Source organism: Homo sapiens, chromosome 11 (assembly GCF_000001405.40).
Source record: "Homo sapiens chromosome 11, GRCh38.p14 Primary Assembly".
NCBI classification, from domain to species: domain Eukaryota; kingdom Metazoa; phylum Chordata; class Mammalia; order Primates; family Hominidae; genus Homo; species Homo sapiens.
The window spans coordinates 126,248,090-126,269,122 of NC_000011.10; the positions used below are offsets into that span (position 1 = coordinate 126,248,090).

General features: G+C 44.1%; 2 protein-coding genes across 10 annotated transcripts in view, besides 1 other annotated feature; one reads left to right on the plus strand and one right to left on the minus strand.

Moving 5' to 3' along the window:
* The window catches only part of FAM118B (family with sequence similarity 118 member B), a 51,264-nt gene extending 36,366 nt beyond the window's left edge, over positions 1–14,898 (plus strand). For 2 of the 6 annotated variants that reach the window (NM_001330446.2, NM_001439325.1), the window contains 5 exons: positions 2,417–2,644; positions 6,216–6,344; positions 8,478–8,763; positions 13,339–13,395; positions 14,031–14,898. In NM_001330446.2, coding sequence (NP_001317375.1) covers positions 2,417–2,644; positions 6,216–6,344; positions 8,478–8,763; positions 13,339–13,395; positions 14,031–14,044 — 714 coding nt within the window. In that variant the 3' untranslated portion in view covers positions 14,045–14,898. Of the gene's footprint in view, positions 1–2,416; positions 2,645–6,169; positions 6,345–8,477; positions 8,764–13,335; positions 13,396–14,030 lie in introns of those variants that run through there. The other 4 variants (NM_001439324.1, NM_024556.4, XM_047427584.1 and 1 more) reach the window with 4 other exon arrangements.
* Positions 1–20,806, minus strand: part of SRPRA (SRP receptor subunit alpha) — a 32,966-nt gene extending 12,160 nt beyond the window's left edge. The window contains exons 1-14 of one of the 4 annotated variants that reach the window (XM_017018179.3): positions 20,599–20,806; positions 19,914–19,997; positions 19,460–19,623; positions 19,086–19,246; positions 18,674–18,833; positions 18,387–18,540; positions 18,098–18,189; positions 17,874–17,992; positions 17,648–17,734; positions 17,179–17,351; positions 16,870–17,083; positions 16,287–16,450; positions 16,007–16,200; positions 7,062–8,781 (exon numbers count right to left, since the gene is read on the minus strand). In XM_017018179.3, the coding sequence (XP_016873668.1) occupies positions 8,760–8,781; positions 16,007–16,200; positions 16,287–16,450; positions 16,870–17,083; positions 17,179–17,351; positions 17,648–17,734; positions 17,874–17,992; positions 18,098–18,189; positions 18,387–18,540; positions 18,674–18,833; positions 19,086–19,246; positions 19,460–19,623; positions 19,914–19,997; positions 20,599–20,715 (1,905 nt within the window). In that variant the 5' untranslated portion in view covers positions 20,716–20,806 and the 3' untranslated portion in view covers positions 7,062–8,759. Of the gene's footprint in view, positions 1–7,061; positions 8,782–14,848; positions 15,956–16,006; positions 16,201–16,286; positions 16,451–16,869; positions 17,084–17,178; positions 17,352–17,647; positions 17,735–17,873; positions 17,993–18,097; positions 18,190–18,386; positions 18,541–18,673; positions 18,834–19,085; positions 19,247–19,459; positions 19,624–19,913; positions 19,998–20,598 lie in introns of those variants that run through there. The other 3 variants (NM_003139.4, XM_047427497.1, NM_001177842.2) reach the window with 3 other exon arrangements.
* Positions 20,669–20,928: an enhancer, noted in NCBI's record as "active region_5704". NCBI's record gives its function as "activates an Ori minimal core promoter by ATAC-STARR-seq in GM12878 lymphoblastoid cells {active_cell/tissue: GM12878}" and the evidence as "EXISTENCE:reporter gene assay evidence [ECO:0000049][PMID:35858748]".

A 21,033-nucleotide genomic window follows, 5' to 3' on the forward strand; every position in this document is an offset into this window, starting at 1 on the left:
GAGCCAAAATCACGCCATTGCACTCCAGGCTGGGCAACAGAGCAAGACTCTGTCTCAAGAAAAATAAAAATAAATAAAAAATAAAATAAAATAATGATGCAGTGATAACCTCATATGTGTCATTTCATTTGTTTGAAATTGTATTTGTAGGATACATGTGACTGCTAGATCATAGGGCAAATGGATTTGTGATTTGGGTAGACAAGAAAAGAGCACCATATTTTTTATAACAAATCTAAAAAAGTATCTGACCTTCAATAGTAGTTGACTTTTTTTTTTTTTTTTTTTTTTTTTTTTTGAGATGGAGTTTCGCTCTTGTTGCCCAGGCTGGAGTGCAATGGTGCGATCTTGGCTCACTACAACCTCTGCCTCCCGGATTCAAGCGATTCTCCTGCCTCAGCCTCCCGAGTAGCTGGCACTACAGGCACCACCACCACGCCCAGCTAATTTTTTTATTTTTAGTAGAGAGATGGGGTTTCACCATGTTGGCCAGGATGGTCTCGATCTCTTGACCTCGTGATCCACCCGCCTTGGCCTCCCAAAGTGCTGGGATTACAGGCGTGAGCCAGCACGCCCGGCCCAGACTCGCTTTTATAACTGACACACTTAGGATAACAAATCTACTCCTGCAATAATGACATTAATCAATTCATGGAGGCACGGCCCTCGTGACTTAATCACGTCTTACTAGGTCTCGCCTCCCAACACAGTTCCGTTGGGGTTAAGTTTCCAACACATGAACGTTAGGGGACCAGTCCAAACCCTAGCAAATGGCATTTCACAGACAGGCTAGGGATCAGATATTACATCACATTACATAGTTACTTTCCCATTTCAAATTCCCTTCGTCCCAAGAGCCACTTTGTCTTTTCAGTTGTAAAGCCAGTTTCCCACCTGAAGTTGGTATTATAGTTCCTCATTAGTACTCAGGGATATTTACATGTATTCAAAATGAATCTGAAAAGCAGTTATTTAAGTAAGCCGTATGTTAAGAAGTAGGAGGTCTGGAAAAGTGGCTGATACCCATAATCCCAACACTTTGGGAGGCTGAGGTGGGAGGATCACTTGAGATCCCAGGAATTCAAGACCTACCTGGACAACATAGCCAGACCTCACATCTGCAAAACAAGACATTGGGATTCTGTTTAGAACTGATTGGTGTTTGATGTTTTCAACAGTTGCAAAATGCAAATTTTTAATTTAAAAAACGTATTAAATTGTTTACGTTAACCTTTTGTATACTGGATATTCTTCAGAATAAACCTATGAACTGCTGAATTATGGCATGTAGAAGTTAAGCAGTTTTTCCTAAATTCATAAACAGCTGTACAAACACCTAGGATTAGAAAAGGAGATGCTGAGGCTGGGTGTGGTAGCTCACACCTGTAATCCCAGCACTTTGGGAGGCTGAGGTGAGTGGATCACAAGGTCAGGAGTTCAAGACCAGCCTGGCCAAGATGGTGAAACCCCGTCTCTACTAAAAATACAAAAATTAGCTGAGCACAGTGGCAGGCGCCTGTAATCCCAGCTACTTGGGAAGCTGAGGCAGGAGAATTGCTTGAACCTGGCGGGGCGGAGGTTGCAGTGAGCCGAGATCACGCCACTGCACTCCAGCCTGGGTGACAGAATGAGACTCCGTCTCAAAAAAAAAAAAAAAAAAAAAAAGAAAAAGAAAAGGAGATGCCAAACCACAATTAGGGCTGTGTCTCAGTGGCGTTTCCCTACATAAGGCAAGATGAACGGAAAGTGTTGCCTTCTTACCTGGCACCTCATGAGAGGGTAGTTGTCGCTCTGCTTTGTACCCCAGCTTCCCTTTAATACCGACAGTAAATTCATATCCCTTGGCCAGGTTTATTTTCTTCATTCTATAAAAATGCCTATTTTAGGAAGCTTACGTATAGTAGCACTTGCTATCTGCTAAGCATTGTGCTAAGCACTTGGCATGTATCATCTCATCTTCCTTATTACGTTCGTATGAGATAGATAATATTTTATCCCCGGGATTTTTTTTTTTTTTTTTGAGATGGAGTCTCGCTCCGTCGCCCAGGCTGGAGTGCAGTGACGCGATCTCGGCTCACTGCAAGCTCCGCCTCCTGGGTTCACACCATTCTCCTGCCTCAGCCTCCCAAGTAGCTGGGACTACAGGCGCCTGTCACCACGCCCTGCTAATTTTTTTTATTTTTAGTAGAGACGGGGTTTCACCGTGTTAGCCAGGATGGTCTCGATCTCCTGACCTCGTGATCCGCCCGCCTCGGTCTCCCAAAGTGCTGGGATTACAGGCGTGAGCCACTGCGCCTGGCCTTTATCTCTGTTTTGAATTCAAAATATTCTTCCAAAATTTGTTACTGCTGTAACTAAAACAACTGACCTACCAAAGCACTTTGGACTAATTTTCTTTTTTCAAATCCCTCCTCAGCGTACCAGTAATGTTCGATCCACATTTTTCAAGGACTGTTTATATGAAGTATTTGATGACTTGGAGTCAAAGATGGAAGATTCTGGAAAACAGCTACTTCAGTCAGTTCTCCACCTGATGGAAAATGGAGCCCTCGTATTAACTACAAATTTTGATAATCTCTTGGAACTGTATGCAGCAGATCAGGGGAAACAGCTTGAATCCCTTGACCTTACTGATGAGAAAAAGGTAAAAAGTAAAGCATTGGTCCCTTCTTCAGGCTAGTGGATTTTATCTTCCTCAGAAAAGCTCTTTTCTAGTTGGTATATTGGTATTTATGTAGAGCTAGAAAGGAAAAATTTTTTCCCTGGTTGGAGTTTTTGTTTTTCTTTTTTCTTTCTTTTTAAAGATCAAATCAATATACAGTAAAATGCATAGAACTTAAAAGTGTTCAGTTCTATGACTCTTGACAATTTCATCCAGTTTTAAAGCAAGATTAGAGGAAGTCACTTGAACTGTAAGATCTCTTTAGCACTTGACAGTATTCAGTGGTGTAATATTGATAATGCTGGTTCTATTTTAGGATACCTTTTTTTATGGCATCTATTGGAAATGTATGAAAACTACTTTATACTGATTGGAAGAACAACTTCCAGGCCAAGCGATGGCTGAATTGAGGTTAATGTTTAGTGGAAACCTCAGCAGACTTTGTTTTAGCATAGTCTATACTGTACCTACCATAATTATTGAATTATAGATGTTGATCTGTGTCAGCTAATGAGATGAGTTCTTAAAGTCTCATTGGTCCTACTCTGTGATTTTTGTAATGTTTTTTCCTACACTTTGTTTTCCTCAGGAATCTGCCTTTATGTCCAATTTAGAGCCCAACTAAGTAGAGTTGAATAGACAAGTGATTTGCCTGCTGGCATTCAGTACTACAGTATTGCCCCTGCCAGAGTGGTAGCTGAAATACCACTCTTGTGGTTTTGCTGACCTTGATGGCAGGATTTAAAGGGAATTGAATTTAGAGAAAAGCTGCCCCATGAAGACTAGTTTTCTCTGGTCCAAGTGTCTTCCGCCTACGCCCTCATATTCTGTATGGTCAGCTCCTTCTTCATTTATAACTCTCAACCTAGGGATCCCCTCCTGAGAGACCTTCTCTGACCATCCTATTTAAATTGGATACTTATTTTTTTTATCCAGTCTCTTGTCCGTTTCCTTTGTAGCACTTAGTATTAACTTGCAGCTTTTTTTTTTTTTTTTTGAGAGACAGTTTCGCTCTTGTTGCCCTGGGTTCAAGTGATTCTCCTGCCTCACCCTCCTGAGTAGCTGGGATTACAGGCATGTGCCACAACGCCCGGCTAATTTTGTATTTTTGGTAGAGACGGGGTTTCTCCATGTTGGTCAGGCTAGTCTCAAACTCCTGACCTCAGGTGATCTGCTAACCTCAGCCTCCCAAAGTACTGGGATTACAGGCATGTGCCTGGCCGTTTTGTTTTGTTTTGTTTTGTTTTGTTTTGAGATGGAGTTTTGCTCTTGTCGCCCAGGCTGAAGTGCAATGGCATGATCTCAGCTCACTGCAACCTCCTCCTCCTGGGTTCAAGCGATTCTCCTGCCTCAGCGTCCCGAATAGCTGGGATTACAGGCACCCGCCATCACGTCTGGCTAATTTTTGTATTTTCAGTAGAGACAGGGTTTCACCATGTTGGCCAGGCTGGTCTCGAACTCCTGACCTCAGGTGATCTGCCCACCTTAGCCTCCCAAAGTGCTGGGATTACAGGCATGAGCCACCACACCCAGCACAGTTTTTATCTTGGCTGTTTATCTGTTTTCTGACTGTTTACCCCATAGGAATAGTAACTTCACTTGGATAGGTATCATGTTAGTCTTTCTTACCCTCATAACTCAAATACAACCCTCATGTCTCAAATATGACAGTTAGGTGCTTGGTAAATATTTTTTTGATTAATAAATGATTGGGCTGGGCACAGCAGCTCAGGCCTGTAACCCCAGCACTTTGGGAAGCTGAGGCGGGAGGATCACTTGAGCCTAGTTCAAGACCAACCTGGGCATCATAGCAAGACCCCATCTCTACAAAAAGTTTAAAAATTAGCCGGGCATGGTGGTGTTTGCCTGTGGTCCCAGCTACTTGGGAGGCTGAAGCAGGACGATCGATTGAGCTGAGGCAGTCGAGGCTACAGTGAGTTGTGATCACACTGTTGCACTCCAGCCTGGGTGACAGCATAAGATCATGTCTCTAAATAAATAGGCTGGGCACAGTGGTTCACGTCTGTAATCCCAGCATTTTGGGTGGCCGAGGTGGGTGGATCACTTGAGGTCAGGATTTTGAGACCAGCCTGTCCAACATGGTGAAACCCCGTCTTTACTAAGAATACAAAAACTAGCTGGGAGTGGTGGTGCACGCCTGTAATCCCAGTTACTTGGGAGGCTGAGGCAGGAGAATCATTTGAACCCAGGAGGCAGAGGTTTCAGTGAGCCAAGATTGCGCCACTGTGCTCCAATCTGGGCAACAGACCAAGACTCTGTCTAAAAACAAACAAACAAATGATTGAAATTTTAAAACTAGCAGCTTCTATGCTATTTGTGATAAAATTTCCAAAGATTATGACCAAGTGTGTTCATGGATATCAGAAGCATAAGGACCTTTTAAAAGCTGAGGATATCTATCACATTTGATGTTTTCCTTCTCATTTCATCCTTGGGCCTCAAGATTTGCATTGTATTTTCAGCCCACATTAGGGGCAGTGTTGCAGTCTAATGGTTAAAGACATTGACTGGTAGTCAGAATGGGGCCTAGTAACATTCAAATTCTAAATCTCGGTGCCTCTTGACTACTTTCCTGATTCATAGCCTATTTCTCCAAAATGTGATAAGAATAAATGTATGCTGTCTCCAGTCCTTGGGAAAATGGAGCCATGGAATCAGGTGGCTATTGCATTCGCTGTTGTCTAAATGATTGTTCTTCGCTGGCAGCCTTTTAGGTTCCTCAGAGGTGACTGAAGTGATTTTTCTATCACTTATCTATTGCTGTACAAGTAATGGCCGTGAAACTTTGTGGCTTGTAACAACAAATATCTTATCTGCCCATGATAAAGTATATTAACAATTTGAACTGGGCTCAGTGACTCAGCCAGGCATTTTTTCTGCTGATTTTTGCACCCTCTTCACATACCTGCAGACATCTGATGGCCGCACCAGGGCTGAGTGATATAAGGGGACCATACTTCCCTGCAAGCAATTGGCCAGGCCATATATGTCCCAGCAGGCTAGCCCAGGCTTCTTCACTTTCTTCGCATGGCAGCTGGATTCCAAAAGTAACACAAGAGAAGTAAGACTTCTTGTGCCAACACTTTTCAAGCTTCTGCTTGTGTGTGTTTGCTAGTATCCCATTGGCTAAAAGCAAGCCATGTGGTTAGCCTGGAGTCACTCCGAAGAGGGGCCACACAAGGGCCTGGATACAGAGGCTTGATTTCTTGGGGCGATCACTGAAGCAGTTGTCCATAGCTCTCATGCATGCCACCAGTGCAAAGGGTCCCTGTTGTTTCTGCAAATTATGACAAATTGTGATTTTTGATGCTTACTTTCAAAGAGAAATCACCAAATTTGTTGCCATCATTCTTGACAGTCATTCCTGAAGTGGAAACTTAGACCACATCAGGTTTTGCATTCTTGTCCTATATCATGAAGCTAGAGAGTTTATGTCAGAAGTCTAGTCCTCAAAACAGCCTCTTGCCCATTGTGACCTTTAAACAGGTGCTCAGCCCTGCCAAGCTGGTTGGGCTATATGTGTGTTGTGCAGGTCCTCGAGTGGGCTCAGGAGAAGCGTAAGCTGAGCGTGTTGCATATTCACGGAGTCTACACCAACCCTAGTGGCATTGTCCTTCATCCGGCTGGATATCAGAACGTGCTCAGGAACACTGAAGTCATGGTGAGTGGGGCTGATCTTGCTGGTCTCAGGAACTCCTTCCTGGGAAATCTCTCTAAATATGCCATAGATCTTAAAGGGGAACATCTTCTTTTCATTAAGTGAAAACGGAAGGTCAGGGGCTAGGAGCAGTGGCTCATGCCTATAATCCCAACACTTTGGGAGGCCAAGGGGAGAGGATCACCTGAGGCCAGGAGTTCGAGACCAGCCTGGGCAACATAGCGAGACTCTTGTCTTTACAAAAATAAAATTAGCTAGGCATCATGGTGCATGCTGTCCCAGCTACTTGGGAGGCTGAGGCAGGAAGATTAGTTGAGACTAGGAATATAAGGCTGTAGTGAGCTGTGTCTAGAGCCACTGCACTCCAGCTTGGGTGACAGAGCAAGGCCCTATCTCTAAAAAAAGAAAGAAACTGGAAAGTCAGACGTTCTTCCTGTGCTTCTTAACTTATGGGTGTGCATGCTGTCTAGGAAATGTAGAATTTCTCTTAAGGTGTCAAACCCTATGATCTTTGTTTGTACTTAATTGACAACCAGCAGATGGCATGTCATCATTGGCATCATCTTCACATACAAAGGATACATTAGTACCCTTTATCATCATTTGGTTTATTAATAGCCCTCTCTGTGTCAGAAATAATTGAGGCAGCTTCTTAACAAACCAACCACTACTAGAGAATACATTCTAAAGAGACTTTGTATAAATGGCAATGGGCTTATATTGAATTAACCACATTTATTCACACTTACTCTTTGTGAAAAGCTTATTGATCTTTTGGGATGCACATTTTCGACTTGTTCAGATAAACATGTTCAAACCAGAAGTATTCGCTGCCCCCAGCTCTAAGAATCTTGTTTGCTGTTTTCAGGACTGGGTCATATAGATTATAGCATCTTTTAATAATGAGGCAAAAGACCGAGAAAATGTATTGTCTAAAGCACAAGGGACTTTTTTTTCTTTTTACCCATTCTTTCCCAACATCTGCCATAACTGCATCCATCTCTGACATTGAGTGATCCCTTAGGCAGTCATTTCTGTGTTTTTGTGTGTGTATATGTATACACACACACACACATACTGATGTTCTAAGTATCAAACGCCTTTCCTTGAGCAAATCCGATGATGGAATTATCTTCTCTGGTGATTCACAGTTCAGTTTGTGAGACAAAGGCAAATATGGTCCAGAAATGGAAGGATTAAGATATATGAAGACCTACTCTTTGCACAATGACCTCTGGGCACATAAATCTAAAAAAGTACGCCTGTAATCCCAACACTTTGGGAGGCTGAGGCAGGCAGATCACATGAGGTCAGGAGTTCCAGACCAGCCTGGCCAACATGGTGAAACCCTGTCTCTACTAAAAATAGGAAAATTAGCTGGGCGTGCTGGCAGGTGCCTGTAATGCCAGCTACTTGGGAGTCTGAGGCAGGAGAATCGCTTGAACCTGGGAGGCAGAGGAGGTTGCAGTGAGCCAAGACCATGCCACTGCACTCCAGCCTAGGTGGCAGAGCAAGACTCTGTCTCAAAAATAAAATAAAAATAAAAAAGTAAACTACTGGCCAAGTGCAGTGGCTCACGCCTGTAATCCCAGCACTTTGGGAGGCCAAGGTGGGTGGATCACTCGAGGTCGGGAGTACCAGACCAGCCTGGCCAACATGGCAAAACCCCGTCTCTACTAAACATTCAAAAATTAGCTGGGTGTGGTGGTGCACACTTGTAATATACTCGGGAGGCTGAGGCATGAGAGTCACTTGAACCAGGGTGGTGGAGGTTGCAGTAAGCCGAGGTCACACCACTACACTCTAGCCCAGGTGAAAGAGTGAGACTCCGTCTCAAAAAATATATAAAGCATAAAAAATAAAGAAGTAAACTACTGCACCAGTACACTGACACCAGCTCTATGAAACGCTGATTAGAGAGCCTACAGAAGAATGGCAGGTAAAGATAAAATTTTAGACCAATCATCAAGTTACAGCAATAAGCAAGAGATCACACTCCTTGATGGGACATACCAACCCACTTAAGTCTTGCTTAATTGGTCATCACAGTCTGCTCAACGTAGCATGACCTTCTTGTTTCAGACTTGCCTTGAGTGTGTCTTCACAATGTCAATATGTTGTATCTTTTCCTTCCAGAGAGAAATTCAGAAACTCTACGAAAACAAGTCATTTCTTTTCCTGGGCTGTGGCTGGACTGTGGATGACACCACTTTCCAGGCCCTTTTCTTGGAGGCTGTCAAGCATAAATCTGACCTAGAACATTTCATGCTGGTTCGGAGAGGAGACGTAGATGAGTTCAAAAAGCTTCGAGAAAACATGCTGGACAAGGGGATTAAAGTCATCTCCTATGGAGATGACTATGCCGATCTTCCAGAATATTTCAAGCGACTGACATGTGAGATCTCCACAAGGGGTACATCAGGTAAGATGCATTTTGAAGCTGAGGGGAATCAGAGAACAACAGCTCTTCAGCCTTTTGTGTATTTGTGATGTGATGGGCAAAATAGTTGCCAAGATGAGGAATGTAATGACTGACCAAATTGTAAAGGAGGCCACAGTCTTCAGGTTAGACTAAAGTGCCACTTGGATTATGGGAAGACAGACAAAAAGGAATACTTGAGCAGTTCAATATAGACATAGGAAGAATGAAGAAAACAGATGTTCAGCCTCACTAGTTATCAATGAAATGCAGTTTGAATTTAGATTACAAAATAGCGAAGAAAGATCACCCAATTTTGGCTAAGGCTGTGAGAAAATAAATTTATTCATGGAGTATTTGTGGAAAGGTAAAGTTAGTACAACTTTTATGACCATAAATTAGAAGATGTAACAAAAATTTTCAAATCTTTGACCTAGAAATCCCATCAAAACAATTTATCCTAGAAGTTTCTCATAAGGAGATAATTGGATGATTGCACAATCACACAATTGTACAAAGATGCATGCGTGGGAATGTAATTTCCATTGAATGTAGTGGCAAAAAATTGGAAGGATCCTAAAATTGGTGGAGATTCTACAGATATGCCAATATTTATTTAATTGATGAAATACAATGAAACCATAGAAGGGAAAGTGTTTTCATTGCCATAAAAAAAAAAGTTAGAGACATATGAGTAAAGGAAGAAAAAGCAGGTTGTAAATACCATGGTCAGCTATATTCATATAGAATTGTACATTTTTTTTTTTTTTTTGGTGCGTGTAGAAATGTATCTGGAATGTTTACTAAATTAAGTGGCTATCTTTAGTAGGATTTAAAGTGTTGATTTTTTGGTTTCTGTATTGGCATTTTCTATGATGATTATGTATTATATTTACAAACAGAAAACTTACTTTTAGAAATGCTATTTGGAAACGGATAATGGTGATATTCAAGTCAGAGGATAGGGGTATCATACACTTGATATTTTACCTCCACATTCTAACAATAAAGAGCAAAATGGTGATTAAAGATTCAGCTGATTAGTGGCTGCAGGCAAATTCCCAGTAACCGCACAAAACACAAACATTTTTGGTATCAGCTAAACTGAAGAATGCTTTTTCAAAACCTCACATTGCCAGGCTCCAGAGTATGGCTAGTGTGACTCATCCATCTAATTCCAAAAAAACTTGGCTGTTGTGCACAGAATATTTCCTGAAAACTTATGTAAGTATTTTCATTGTCAACCTGAATGCATCTTAGGAGGGCAAAAGTACAGGTAATTTGTCCTGTAATCCCAACACTGTGGGAGGCCCAGGTGGGAGGATCACTTGAGGCCAGGAGTTCAAGATGAGTGTGAGCAACATAGTGAGAACCTGTCTCTGCAAAAAATTAGCCAGGTGTGGTGGCACACACCTGTAGTCCAGCTGCTTGGGAGGTTGAGGCAGGAGGATCACTTGAGCCCAGGAGTTGGAGTCTGCAGTGAGCTATGATTGCATCACTGCCCTACAGTCTGAGCAATAAAGCAAGACGCTGTTTCTAAAATAAATAACATACAGGTAATTTAATAAACATAAAGCAGTTTTCCTAAATCAAATCATCCCCAGATTTCTTAACTGAATCAGATGGCTTCAAGTAGAATTCTCCTGTAATGAAAAATTACACAGCTTCTTCCATGGCTATGCTTTGATGGAACCAGACTTTTAAAAGCCATCACCACATGAACAAGTCTCATTTGTGAAAACTATTTACTATTCTTTGTTGGAAATGAGTTTTTCTGGTGTCCTGCAGTGTTCTAGACTCTCCTGCTGTTGTTTGCCCACACTTGAGACTTTGAGAAGGCTTTTCTGTTGCACATGTTGTTTTCATTAACAAGACATACATATCCAAGTTCTACATATTTCTTTTGATCTATATGCTGAGGAAAGATGCTAAAGTTTAAAACAGCAAAATCCGTCTGCATAACTGTTTCTGTTGCACTAAATCTTAGCAAAAAATAAATATGTCTTTAGACTGTTGCATTACATAACAAAGAAGCAGTAAGGTTCCTTAGTGCACTAAGATTGCTCTAAGGAACCTTAACTGCTATTGTGGAATGGCACAAATTCTTTTATTAGCTGTGTAGGCTTCCTACCAGAGTAGCTTTCCCCGAAGTTACCCATCATTAAGGTGTTCTGTATCTTTAAACAAAATCAAGGATTTTCAGTATGGCCAGAGTGCTTTATGGGAATGGTCAGCTGAGTTTGTCATGTGAAATGTAGTAGAGCAGTTTCAGGTTAAAACATCATTTCATTTTGAAACGAGTCAACCTTATCTTTCACCCTTGCATAATGTTTTGAGTCTCTGTAGATATAGACTAATGAGAGGTTACAGGTCTTTTGCTGTTATTTTGTTTTTTAACACTGAACCTTTGCTATGTGCCTGGCATTGTGCTGTATACTCACTTTTGCATAGTGGAAATTAATTGTCTTCAAAGGATTCTATAGTATGTAGTTACACATATTTTGGAAAAATCAAGCAGTGGGAAAAAGAAAAATAATTCTTATAATCCATTACCATACAAGCAGTCGTTGTGGTACTTTTTTTTTTTTTTTTTTTGAGATGGAGTCTCGCTCTGACGCCAGGCTGGAGTGCAGTGGCACAATCTCGGCTCACTGCAACCCCCGCCTCCTGGGTTCAAGTGATTCTCCTGCCTCAGCCTCCTGAGTGGCTGGAACTATAGGCGCCCACCACCATGCCCGGCTAATTTTTTGTATTTTTAGTAGAGATGGGGTTTCACCATGTTGGCCAGGATGGTCTCGGTCTCCTGACCTCATGATCCACCCGCCCTGGCCTCCCAAAGTGCTGGGATTACAGGCGTGAGCCACCATGCCCGGGCCTATTTATTGATTTGAGATGGAGTTTCTCTCTGTCACCCAGGCTAGAGTGCAGTGGCGCAATCTCAGCTCACTGCAAGCTCTGCCTCCTGGGTTCACGCCATTCTCCTGCCTCAGTCTCCCGAGTAGCTGGGACTAAAGGCGCCCGCCACCACACCCGGCTAATTTTTTGTATTTTTAGTAGATACAGCGTTTCACTGTGTTAGCCAGGATGGTCTCGATCTCCTGACCTCGTGATCCACCCACCTCAGCCTCCCAAAGTGCTGGGATTACAGGCGTGAGCCACTGTGCCAGCTTTATTTTTATTTTATTATTATTACTATTTTTGATACAGGGTCTTGCTTTTTCACCCAGGCTGCAGTACAATGGCACAGTCATGGCTCACCACAGCCTTGACCTCCCCGGGCTCAGGCGATCCTCCCACCTCAGCCTCCCGAGTAGCTGAGACTAAAGGCACATACCACAATGCCCAGCTAATTTTTGTATTTTTTGTAGAGATGGGGTTTCGCCATGTTGCCCAGGCTGTTCTCAGTCTCCTAAGTGCAAGCAATCCTCCCACCTCAGCTTCCCAAAGTTCTGGGATTATAGGTGTGAGCCACAGCACCTGGCCTTGGCACATTTCTGATGAAGTTTTCCCTGTGCTTTTTTTCATAGTTGTAAACAAAATATAGTGATTTTTTTTTTTTTTTGGTCCTTTGAAAATTCAGTAGTGGATTGTACATTTTCCCACATCCCTATCTTCATAACCACTATTTTAATTGACTTTTATATTCCAGTAGGGGTGTTACAGTTTACCTAATTATTCCTGTTAGGCAACGTCTGATATTTTTTTTGCCAGTTTTTTGTAAGTCATGTTGTGAAAATAACATCTGTATCTCTTCAGTTTTTCCAGTAATTTCCTTGATGAGTTCTCACTGTAATCAGGTCAAAGATCAGGAACATTTCAGTAATTTATAAATACTGCTAAATTGTTTTCTACGAGGGTAATATCAATTTGTATATTTGAGTACCATGCCTGTTTATACTGTAATTGACCATATTTCTAATGACTATTTTCTTCCATGTGTTCAGCTTTTTACTTTTTCTGAACTATTATCTATGCCAAGTGTTATCCAGTAGAATTTCCTGCAGTCATAAAAATACTGTATAATCTTCACTGTCTAGTATCATAGTTAGGAGCCACATGTGGCTGGTGCACCGTTGAAATGTGGCCAGTGTGACTGAGGAATGGAATTTTTAATTTGAAACCAAGTAGCTGCATATGGCTAGTGCTACCGTATTTTATTTTGTGGGAGTATTCTGCTGCTTTTCACTCTTCTATTTGAAGTTGCTCACTCACATGCCATTTGCCCATCCCTGGTGAGATTGAATTTTTACCGAAACTTGGCCCTCTAGACTGTTTAGGGACAGCAGACACATGTTGCCTGTATGTGAAATGTAAAATGTAAAATGTAAAATGTTTTGTCTACAAGCAATCGTAGTGCACTGTGGAAACTCACTGCTTCCCTGTTAGGTAATGCAAGTCTAAAGACTACTCCAGTTTATCCTCTCTGCCTCCTTATCTTCTCAATGATTGTTTCATTTCTAAATGCCCATTCCTTTTCAGTCGTACCATATGTCCTCATCTCCCTTTAGTTTTCTTTTTGCTATTAATAGTTTTAGCTTTTCAGTCTAATGTCTGATGCTGATGTCCTCTATTTAGCAGGGATGGTGAGAGAAGGTCAGCTAAATGGCTCATCTGCAGCACACAGTGAAATAAGAGGTATACTGTTTCCTATTCTACTATTTATCACTCTGTAGCAGAAAGTCTTTCTAGGTCCTTGGTTAAGAATATAGAGAATGTTACTTTGGACCTCACATTGCCAAATTTTAAAAAACACTGTAGAGAATGATTTTCCTCTCCTACCCATTAAGGATTCTATCTTTTCCTATCAAGTCTATTACAATCTAGTGCAGTGATCAGTTAATTTTTTGAAAAAAGTACTGCTGGGTGTGGTGGCTCAGGCCTGTAATCCCAGCACTTTGGGAGGCTGAGGCAGGAGGATTGCTTGAGCCCAGGAGTTTGAGACCAGCCTGAGCAACATAGCAAGATGCTGTTTCTACAAAAAAAATTTTTTTAAATTGCTAGGTCTGGTGCTGTGTGCCTATAGTCCCGGCTACTGGCTGAGGTAGGAGGATTGCTTGAGCCCAGTGAGCTGATTGTGCCACTGCATTTGAGCCTGGGTGACAAAGACCTTGTCTCTAAAAAGTAAATAAAATTTTAAATAAATTACAAGATTCCTAGAATCTCCTGTCTTGCCTTCTGAAGGGTTAGGATTGACTTAAGTATCTGCAGCTTCCAATGTATAAACCTGTTTTGTGAAACTTCATTTTGTTCTCTTTTCTTTCTCCCTACAGGCTGTAGTACATGAGCGAGCTAGAGAAATCACCACCGTTTAGACCAAGCTGTAAGGCCCTACTACAGACAGTGTTTAACAAGTAAACTTACAAGAACCCAACACAATTCCCAGAAAGTAACAATAGCCAGAGGTTGAAGGGCGGGGTAGAAGAGGGGGGAATGTTGCAGCGTAATCCTTCATACCACCTGGTTCTTGATATTCTGCCGCCTGTTCAAGTTCAAGAATAAAAGCGACAGCAGGACCCAAATGCAGCTCCCAACCCACTCCCCAGGCTAGACATGCTTGTGTCCACACAGCACACCAATGTGATACTTCCACTGACCGGCTGCAGCTCTGCATGAAGGACTCGGGGTCTGGATGCCATGGAATCACTGTGGCTCTTGTTGCAGTTTTGTACTCTATACTTGGTTTTTCAATTAAGCTTAATGGCTTTTTTAAAACATGACTTGAAGCTCTAGTTTTCTAGATCTTTTACAGTGTACAGTATTTTACATAACTAAGCTGTATTAAAAGCTTGTTCATTTACTTGCCAGGACCCTGGCTCTACTTTTAGAGTCATTGTAAGAAACTCTAACTTGCATCAAGGTACTAATAAGCTTAATTTTAATAACCCAAAGTTTAAAGGTTCCGATCTTTCTCCTTGGGGTGGAGTGATCTCATTCTCAGGACAACCGTTTACTTACCTGATTCCTCGGAGCATTATCAACTTCTGCTCTGTTGTCCTGACCATACATATGTCCTAGAACTACAGTTAAGTGTGTTGTGGAATTTTAGTTTTGAATCCTGTATAAAAGAACTCCAAGACCTAAAAGGCAATTTATTTATGAAATTTATTTTCTTATATAAATTACTTATTTCTCTGGGCAGACAGCCTTCACCTTATTGCACTAATAGCACATCTGTAATATCAAGCTACAGGACAAGTCTTAACAAGAGGTTTGTGTTCTTCAATGTAGCACTTGTCTACCAGGCACTGTAGAGGGGAGTGATGAGGAAAAGCCAGGACTGCTTAGGAGGTGAAGGATGGGAGGGGAGGGGGTCATCATACATCCTTCTGACAATTGGTTTCCTCCCAGGAAGGGGAACATGCAGAGCTTACTTCTGGATTCTGGGAGTGGGAAGAGTTGGGAGGCCAAGAAGCCCAATGCAACGCTGCAGCTGAGCTCCTTTTATTTCTGAGGGAAGCAAGGACTCATCTTTTGCTCATTTGTAACAAATCACTCCAGCCTAGCTGATGCTTTGGGGTAAACAATGGAGTAGGAGTCATCATCAGAATTAGAATTAGCAGCAATTAACAGGCAATACACTGCCACAGTGAGGCGGGTGTCATCCAGGTCCTGGGGACCTGCAGGCTGTGTATCCTAGGGAGAGGTGCCATTCAAGACCTGGCGCTGGCTCTGGAAGAGTCTCTTAACCTAATGCAGCTGGGACTCATTAGGCTCAGACGGCTCTTGACCACACTAATTATTAGCAAAGCTCTGGTGTTGGGTTCCAACCATTGGTCAAAGCTGTAATAAGACTGAGTCTGTAGGCAGAGTGAAGGGGGTGCCTGAGTAGGAAGGGGGAGGCCCGCTGGGAGAGGGTCAGTGGGCAGTGATTGTAACATGATTAGGCCTTCCTTGCAGATGGCGGCTGTGCTGAACGGGGAGTGGGGTTGGAAGGAGCCACAAGCCCCCTCACTCTGCCTTTGTACTACACTGAAGACAGGTTGCTCACATACTCTAAAGCACATTCTTGATACAGGAAGAAGGGCTTGTGGGGAAAGCGGCGATTTGGTATTGGGCAAGAGCCACGTTAAGCCTTCATGAGGGCAGCCACCACAGCCTTGGCATTGAGGCTGCGTAGGTCACAGTAGGTCTGGCCGGTGCCCACAAAGACGATGGGTTTGCTTGTGATGTACGTCATAGAAATAGCAGCTCCCACCTAAGTGGAGAAAGAGGACAGCCCATCAACACAAGCCCACTTTTCACTCACCCTCTCAGGAACAGGAAGCGCTGGAGCCAAGATTTCCTTGCAGCCTCAGCTCCTTTGTGCAGGACGCCCATTCCAGCCTCCAGTCTCACGTTTACCTTGTCATCAATGGTATCAAATTTGGTAAGAACAATGCCATCAATGAGCCGAGGTGTCTGAGCCATAGAATGGTCAGCCAAGGCTCTGTTGAACTTGACCTGGAAAGAAAAAGTGATAGAAGTGTAAGAACCATCTAAATTGACCAAAGCTCAAGTTGTAAAGGGAACTGGGCCCACGCTCTCACCAGCTGGTCCACGGCTTCATTGCCTACTAAGGCTTCTCCTACAAACAGCACCAAATCAGGTGTATTGACAGTAATGAGTTTGGCCAGGGCAGTCATCAGAGGGGCATTGTCTTGCATGCGGCCTGCCGTGTCCACCAGCACCACGTCAAAGCCTTGGTTACGTGCTAGAGAAAGAAAGTAGTCAACTCTGAACACCTGGACTACCACTCATGCTCGTTCCCAGCTTCCTCTCAAAAAGTCCTAGTTTGACTACCTGTTCACTGTCTTGGGCTCTGGATTTGGTTCCAAGGTAATGTGAGAAAAACTTGATTATATGCTTGGCCATCACCAAACATATTCAGGAAAAGGAGGACAACAGGATGAAGGTGACCAAATTCAGGTTTCTCTGGTTAAGGTATATTAGCTTTGCCTGCAACTACATCTGTTATCCAAAAGCAGAGCATGGCAAGTAACTGATCTGACTTTTTACTGTAATTGACCAACGAGTCTGTAGTAGCACAAGCCTGATCTTCTGCAAATTCCAAGAGAACCCAAGGAGAAAAAGGGACCCCAAATAAGCCCCCACACTTCCCATGCACTGTACCAAAAGCAATGGCTTCCATGGCAATGCCAGCAGCATCCTTGCCATAGCCCTTTTCAAACAACTGCACCATGGTGCGGCCACCATGCTTCTCTGGAGGGTGTAGGGCACTCAAACGCCGGGTGTGTGTACGCAGCTGCTCCACGGCCCCAGCACGAAATGTATCACAGGCAGCAATGAGGACACTGAAGCCATTCTCTAACAACCAGAAGGAAATCTGTGAAAAAGACGTAAGAAAAGTCACCTAAAGCCAGGATTTTGAGACACAAGAAGTACAGAAATATCAGCGATAGGCTGGGGAACTGCACTGACCTTGGCAAGATTAGTAGATTTCCCCACTCCATTAACGCCGCAGAAGGTGACGACATAAGGGCGCTGGCGACGCTGGGCATCCATGATGTCCCGGAGCATGTCTACACGACGCTGTGGCTGCAGAATCTGCACCAGGGACTCCTGTAGGGCTTGCTTTACTGTGGAAGTCACCGCTGAAAGGGGAGGTGGAGGAGGTTGCAGCTGTGAAACTCAAGGAATGCTCTCAAAAATGCCTAACACCTTTCTGAGCTAAGGGGACTAAAACAGTAAATTAGACTCTTGTCCCAGAAATCCAGAACAGACGCACATTACAAGGACTAACTCACTGAATCCTCTCAATAACCCTTAAAATCTAGGTTACAGAGGTTTAGAGGTTAAGGAATTTGCCGAAAGTCACATACCTAGTAAGAACTGAGGTCTATGCACTTAACCTACACATAAGCACTTTCTCACTTAGGTAAGTACTTACTGCTGAACGTCCCCATCACCTTCCCTTCCAACTTGTTGGCAACAGATTCACAGAGCTGGACGGCAATGTCTGCAGCCACGTTCTTAGCTGAGGAGAGGGGGACAGGTATGTCAGTTCCATGTCAGCAATGACCAATCTTTATGGTACAGGTGAGAAACGCTAGGTGATTCTGCTCTCAACTACCCCTATCCCGCGAGTATGAGTCAGCCCGGTCCTCAGAACTTACCAATGAGATGATCACGCATCTTGTCCAGCACAGATTCCATGTCTTCACGACTCAAGCTCTTTGAACCCACAAGGCCCTTCAGCATACCAAACATGCCACCCAGTGTTCCCTTGGTCGCACTGCAGGGACAGGAGATTACACATACACATAAAACCAGTAGGCAGGAGTTGTATCTTACCAGTTTTGCAGATGCATATACCAACCCCCACCTGAAATTCCCCTACCTAGGTTTGGTAGAGTTTTGAGCAGCCCCTTCGTCATCAGAGCTGCTGCAGTCCAGATCCTGAAGCTGCCCCCCAGACCCAGTCCCTCGAATCTGGAAGATACGGGGAAAGGATGTGGGGTCAGGAACACTAAGGTCTCTGAGGAAAACGTCCACATTGCTCTATCTCTTTCATTTTGGGAAGCTCCAAGTATAACTTACCCCTCATTCAAATCCCAGTATCACGTTCCCACACTCTACTTCCTCCCAATTTGTTGTTAAAGATCACTTTGACCCCTGTTACCTCTTACCAGGTTGATGTCCTCAGACAAGGCAGCCTCAGGGGTTCCATTGGTGGTGGGAGTACTGTAATCCAACACTTCTTTGTTAGCACAGCCACCCAGTTCCCACACCCGGGGTGCTTTTTTGCCCTTCTCCTTTGGAGCATCTGACTTCGTGGACTTGCTGCAACAGGTTATGATACAAAGAGTTATGGTGGAGAAGTAGGAAAGGAAACATGAGCCAGAGACCAGAACTCCCTTGCACCCATTGTGTCTAGATAACAGTATTTTGAGAGTACTGGAGAAAGAGTGCTCACTTGGACTTCTCCATACCCCTCCCATGCTTCTGAATGAACTCCTCGCGCTTCCTGCGGATCAGCTCCTCTTTGGAAAGTTCTACTCCGTTCTCAGGACCCACTGGAAGACCTGACTTTTCTGCAGGGACTGGTTTGCTGGTAGCCAAAGGACCATCAGAACCTGTTGGGGAAAAAACTCACTGAAGAAAAAAGAAGACCAATCCCAACCACTAGACAATGGCTAAAAGTCTTCCAAATTGTTCAAAGGAAATTTGGACCAAACATCTTGGAGTTCATAAGGCCTGGGGATTATAGGATGGTGACCATTTGAGTGAGAAGCAGGTAAGCAATGACAAAAGGAAGGACCACCTCAGTCCTTAGCACCGTGTTAACACCTTTCATGTCCCAGTATATCCAAAGAACTCAAACTTGCCTTCCTTCTTGGCCCCCTTTTTTTTGCTATTCTTTGCTTTTTCCTTGGGCTTTTCCCCCCGTGTCTCAATCATGGACCTCACAGGTTTCTTGGCCTTTTCAGAATCTTCAAATTTCTTCATGGTAGTGGGAGCACGGATCTTACTGCTCTCCTCTGCTTCACTAAACAAAAAGGAGAATGGTTTATCTTTCTACCCCATGCAGAAGGAAAAATAACGGTCCAGAGAAAGGACTCTCACACCCAAGAGGACAATGAGAACTGGGTAGCAAATTAGGAATGTCTTTGAACACATCAATTTACCACCTTTGAACCACCTTCAGAGAGGTCATCAAATCATGGAAATAAATTGATTTTAGAGAAGGCAGGTCTCTCACCGAAGGAGCCGCAGGAAGTCATTTTGGAAATCAAAAGTGCCATTTAATAAACTTAAAGCACTTTGCTGTTGGATCTCTGTGCGGTACTTGTCCCGAAACAGCCGATGCACGTCATCTATCAATTTGTCTACATATGTCAGTGTCAGGATCTTCTGAAAACCAACCTGTTTAGGGGAAGAAACAGCCAACAGATCTGCTTACATACTAGCCTAGAATGGAGGGACGCCAACTCAACCCTGGCTTTCAGAGATAGGTTCAGCTACCTGGCCGGTTTCCCTGTCCTGAGAGGCAGCCAAGCTCCCTGCCTGGGCCCAGTAGCTGCTGTTTTCCCCCATCTACCTTTCTAGTTTTTTCAGTTACGTCATCATATACACTGGCTGCAATTAATCAGAGTTCTCTTAAAAATCAGGGCTATGTTAACAATGCAATCGTCCCTCTACAACACCCCACTTACCACAAACACCAGCTCAAACTGGTTGTCCAGTTTATACTTGAGTGTGAGTGCCTCATGGGTGAAGGAGTTGTTACCTCCCCGTTCCTGGAGAAAGAGTATGTCTCAGTGTTCAGACTATCCCCAGAAAACCCAGGTTTGGGCCCTGGGTTTGGATAACCTTTGGGAAAGAGCCAAACATTTCCCCCAAACTCAAATCTGTCCCCAGGACAAGAGGATGTTGGGGCACTTCTCTCTGGCATTCCACCAGAAATAAGATAACCAAGTTGGGGGAAAAAGATGAGAGAGAGAGCAAGACACATGGGAGCCAAAAGGGAAGTAGTCATGTAAACAATCAGATTACTAGCAGCTATACACCATTTAGTTTTGTAAAGGTGTTTTCCCATCTGTTATTTCACCTAGGCTCGAAACAACAAAACCAAGCTGCTGGGGATAAATAGAGGGAGCGGAGGAGAATCCCAAAGGCGCCGGAATTCGGCTAGAGTTGAGACACCAGAGGCGGGGGCCGTCATTAAGTTGCGGGGTAGTCTGAAGGGGACGAGAAAACGAAGCGGAGTCCGGGTTACGCGTGAGTGGTCAGTGTGAGGTGGGCGGGGAGGGTGGGAGGAGGCGCGGAATAGAGTCGAAGGGGACCATGGATCGGGTCAGGAAAGAAGAGCCTGGAGTTCTGATCCCACGGGGACGGTACCTGCAGCAGCACGGAACGAATCAACGCGTTAACGGGTCCGGTGCATGAGTCGCTAACGCCCTGGAAGCACCAGAGCACAAGCCCGCCCTTGGAGAAAATGGTGAAGAAGTCGAGCATGGCGGCAGCGGCAGAGGAGCTGGGGCCGGCGCCGGGAATTCAGGCCGCGTTCGCCGCCGCTTCCTGCTGCGCCAAGCGCGGGACACGTCACACCAGTGGCCCCGGAAATCGGCTCAACCGTACTTCCGCTCAGAACGCCGGGTGCCCTCCCCATCTCCGCCCGGGGGCGCGCAGGACTGACGTATCGCAAGGCCAGCCAATGGCGGGTGGGAGCGGGCCTGGGTGGGGCTCCAGGAGAGGTCACGGGGAGACGGCCACCTAGAGCATTGGGCGGGGCAGAGCCCTGAGGGCCGCTGGCCAATTGGCGCGCTCGTCTGA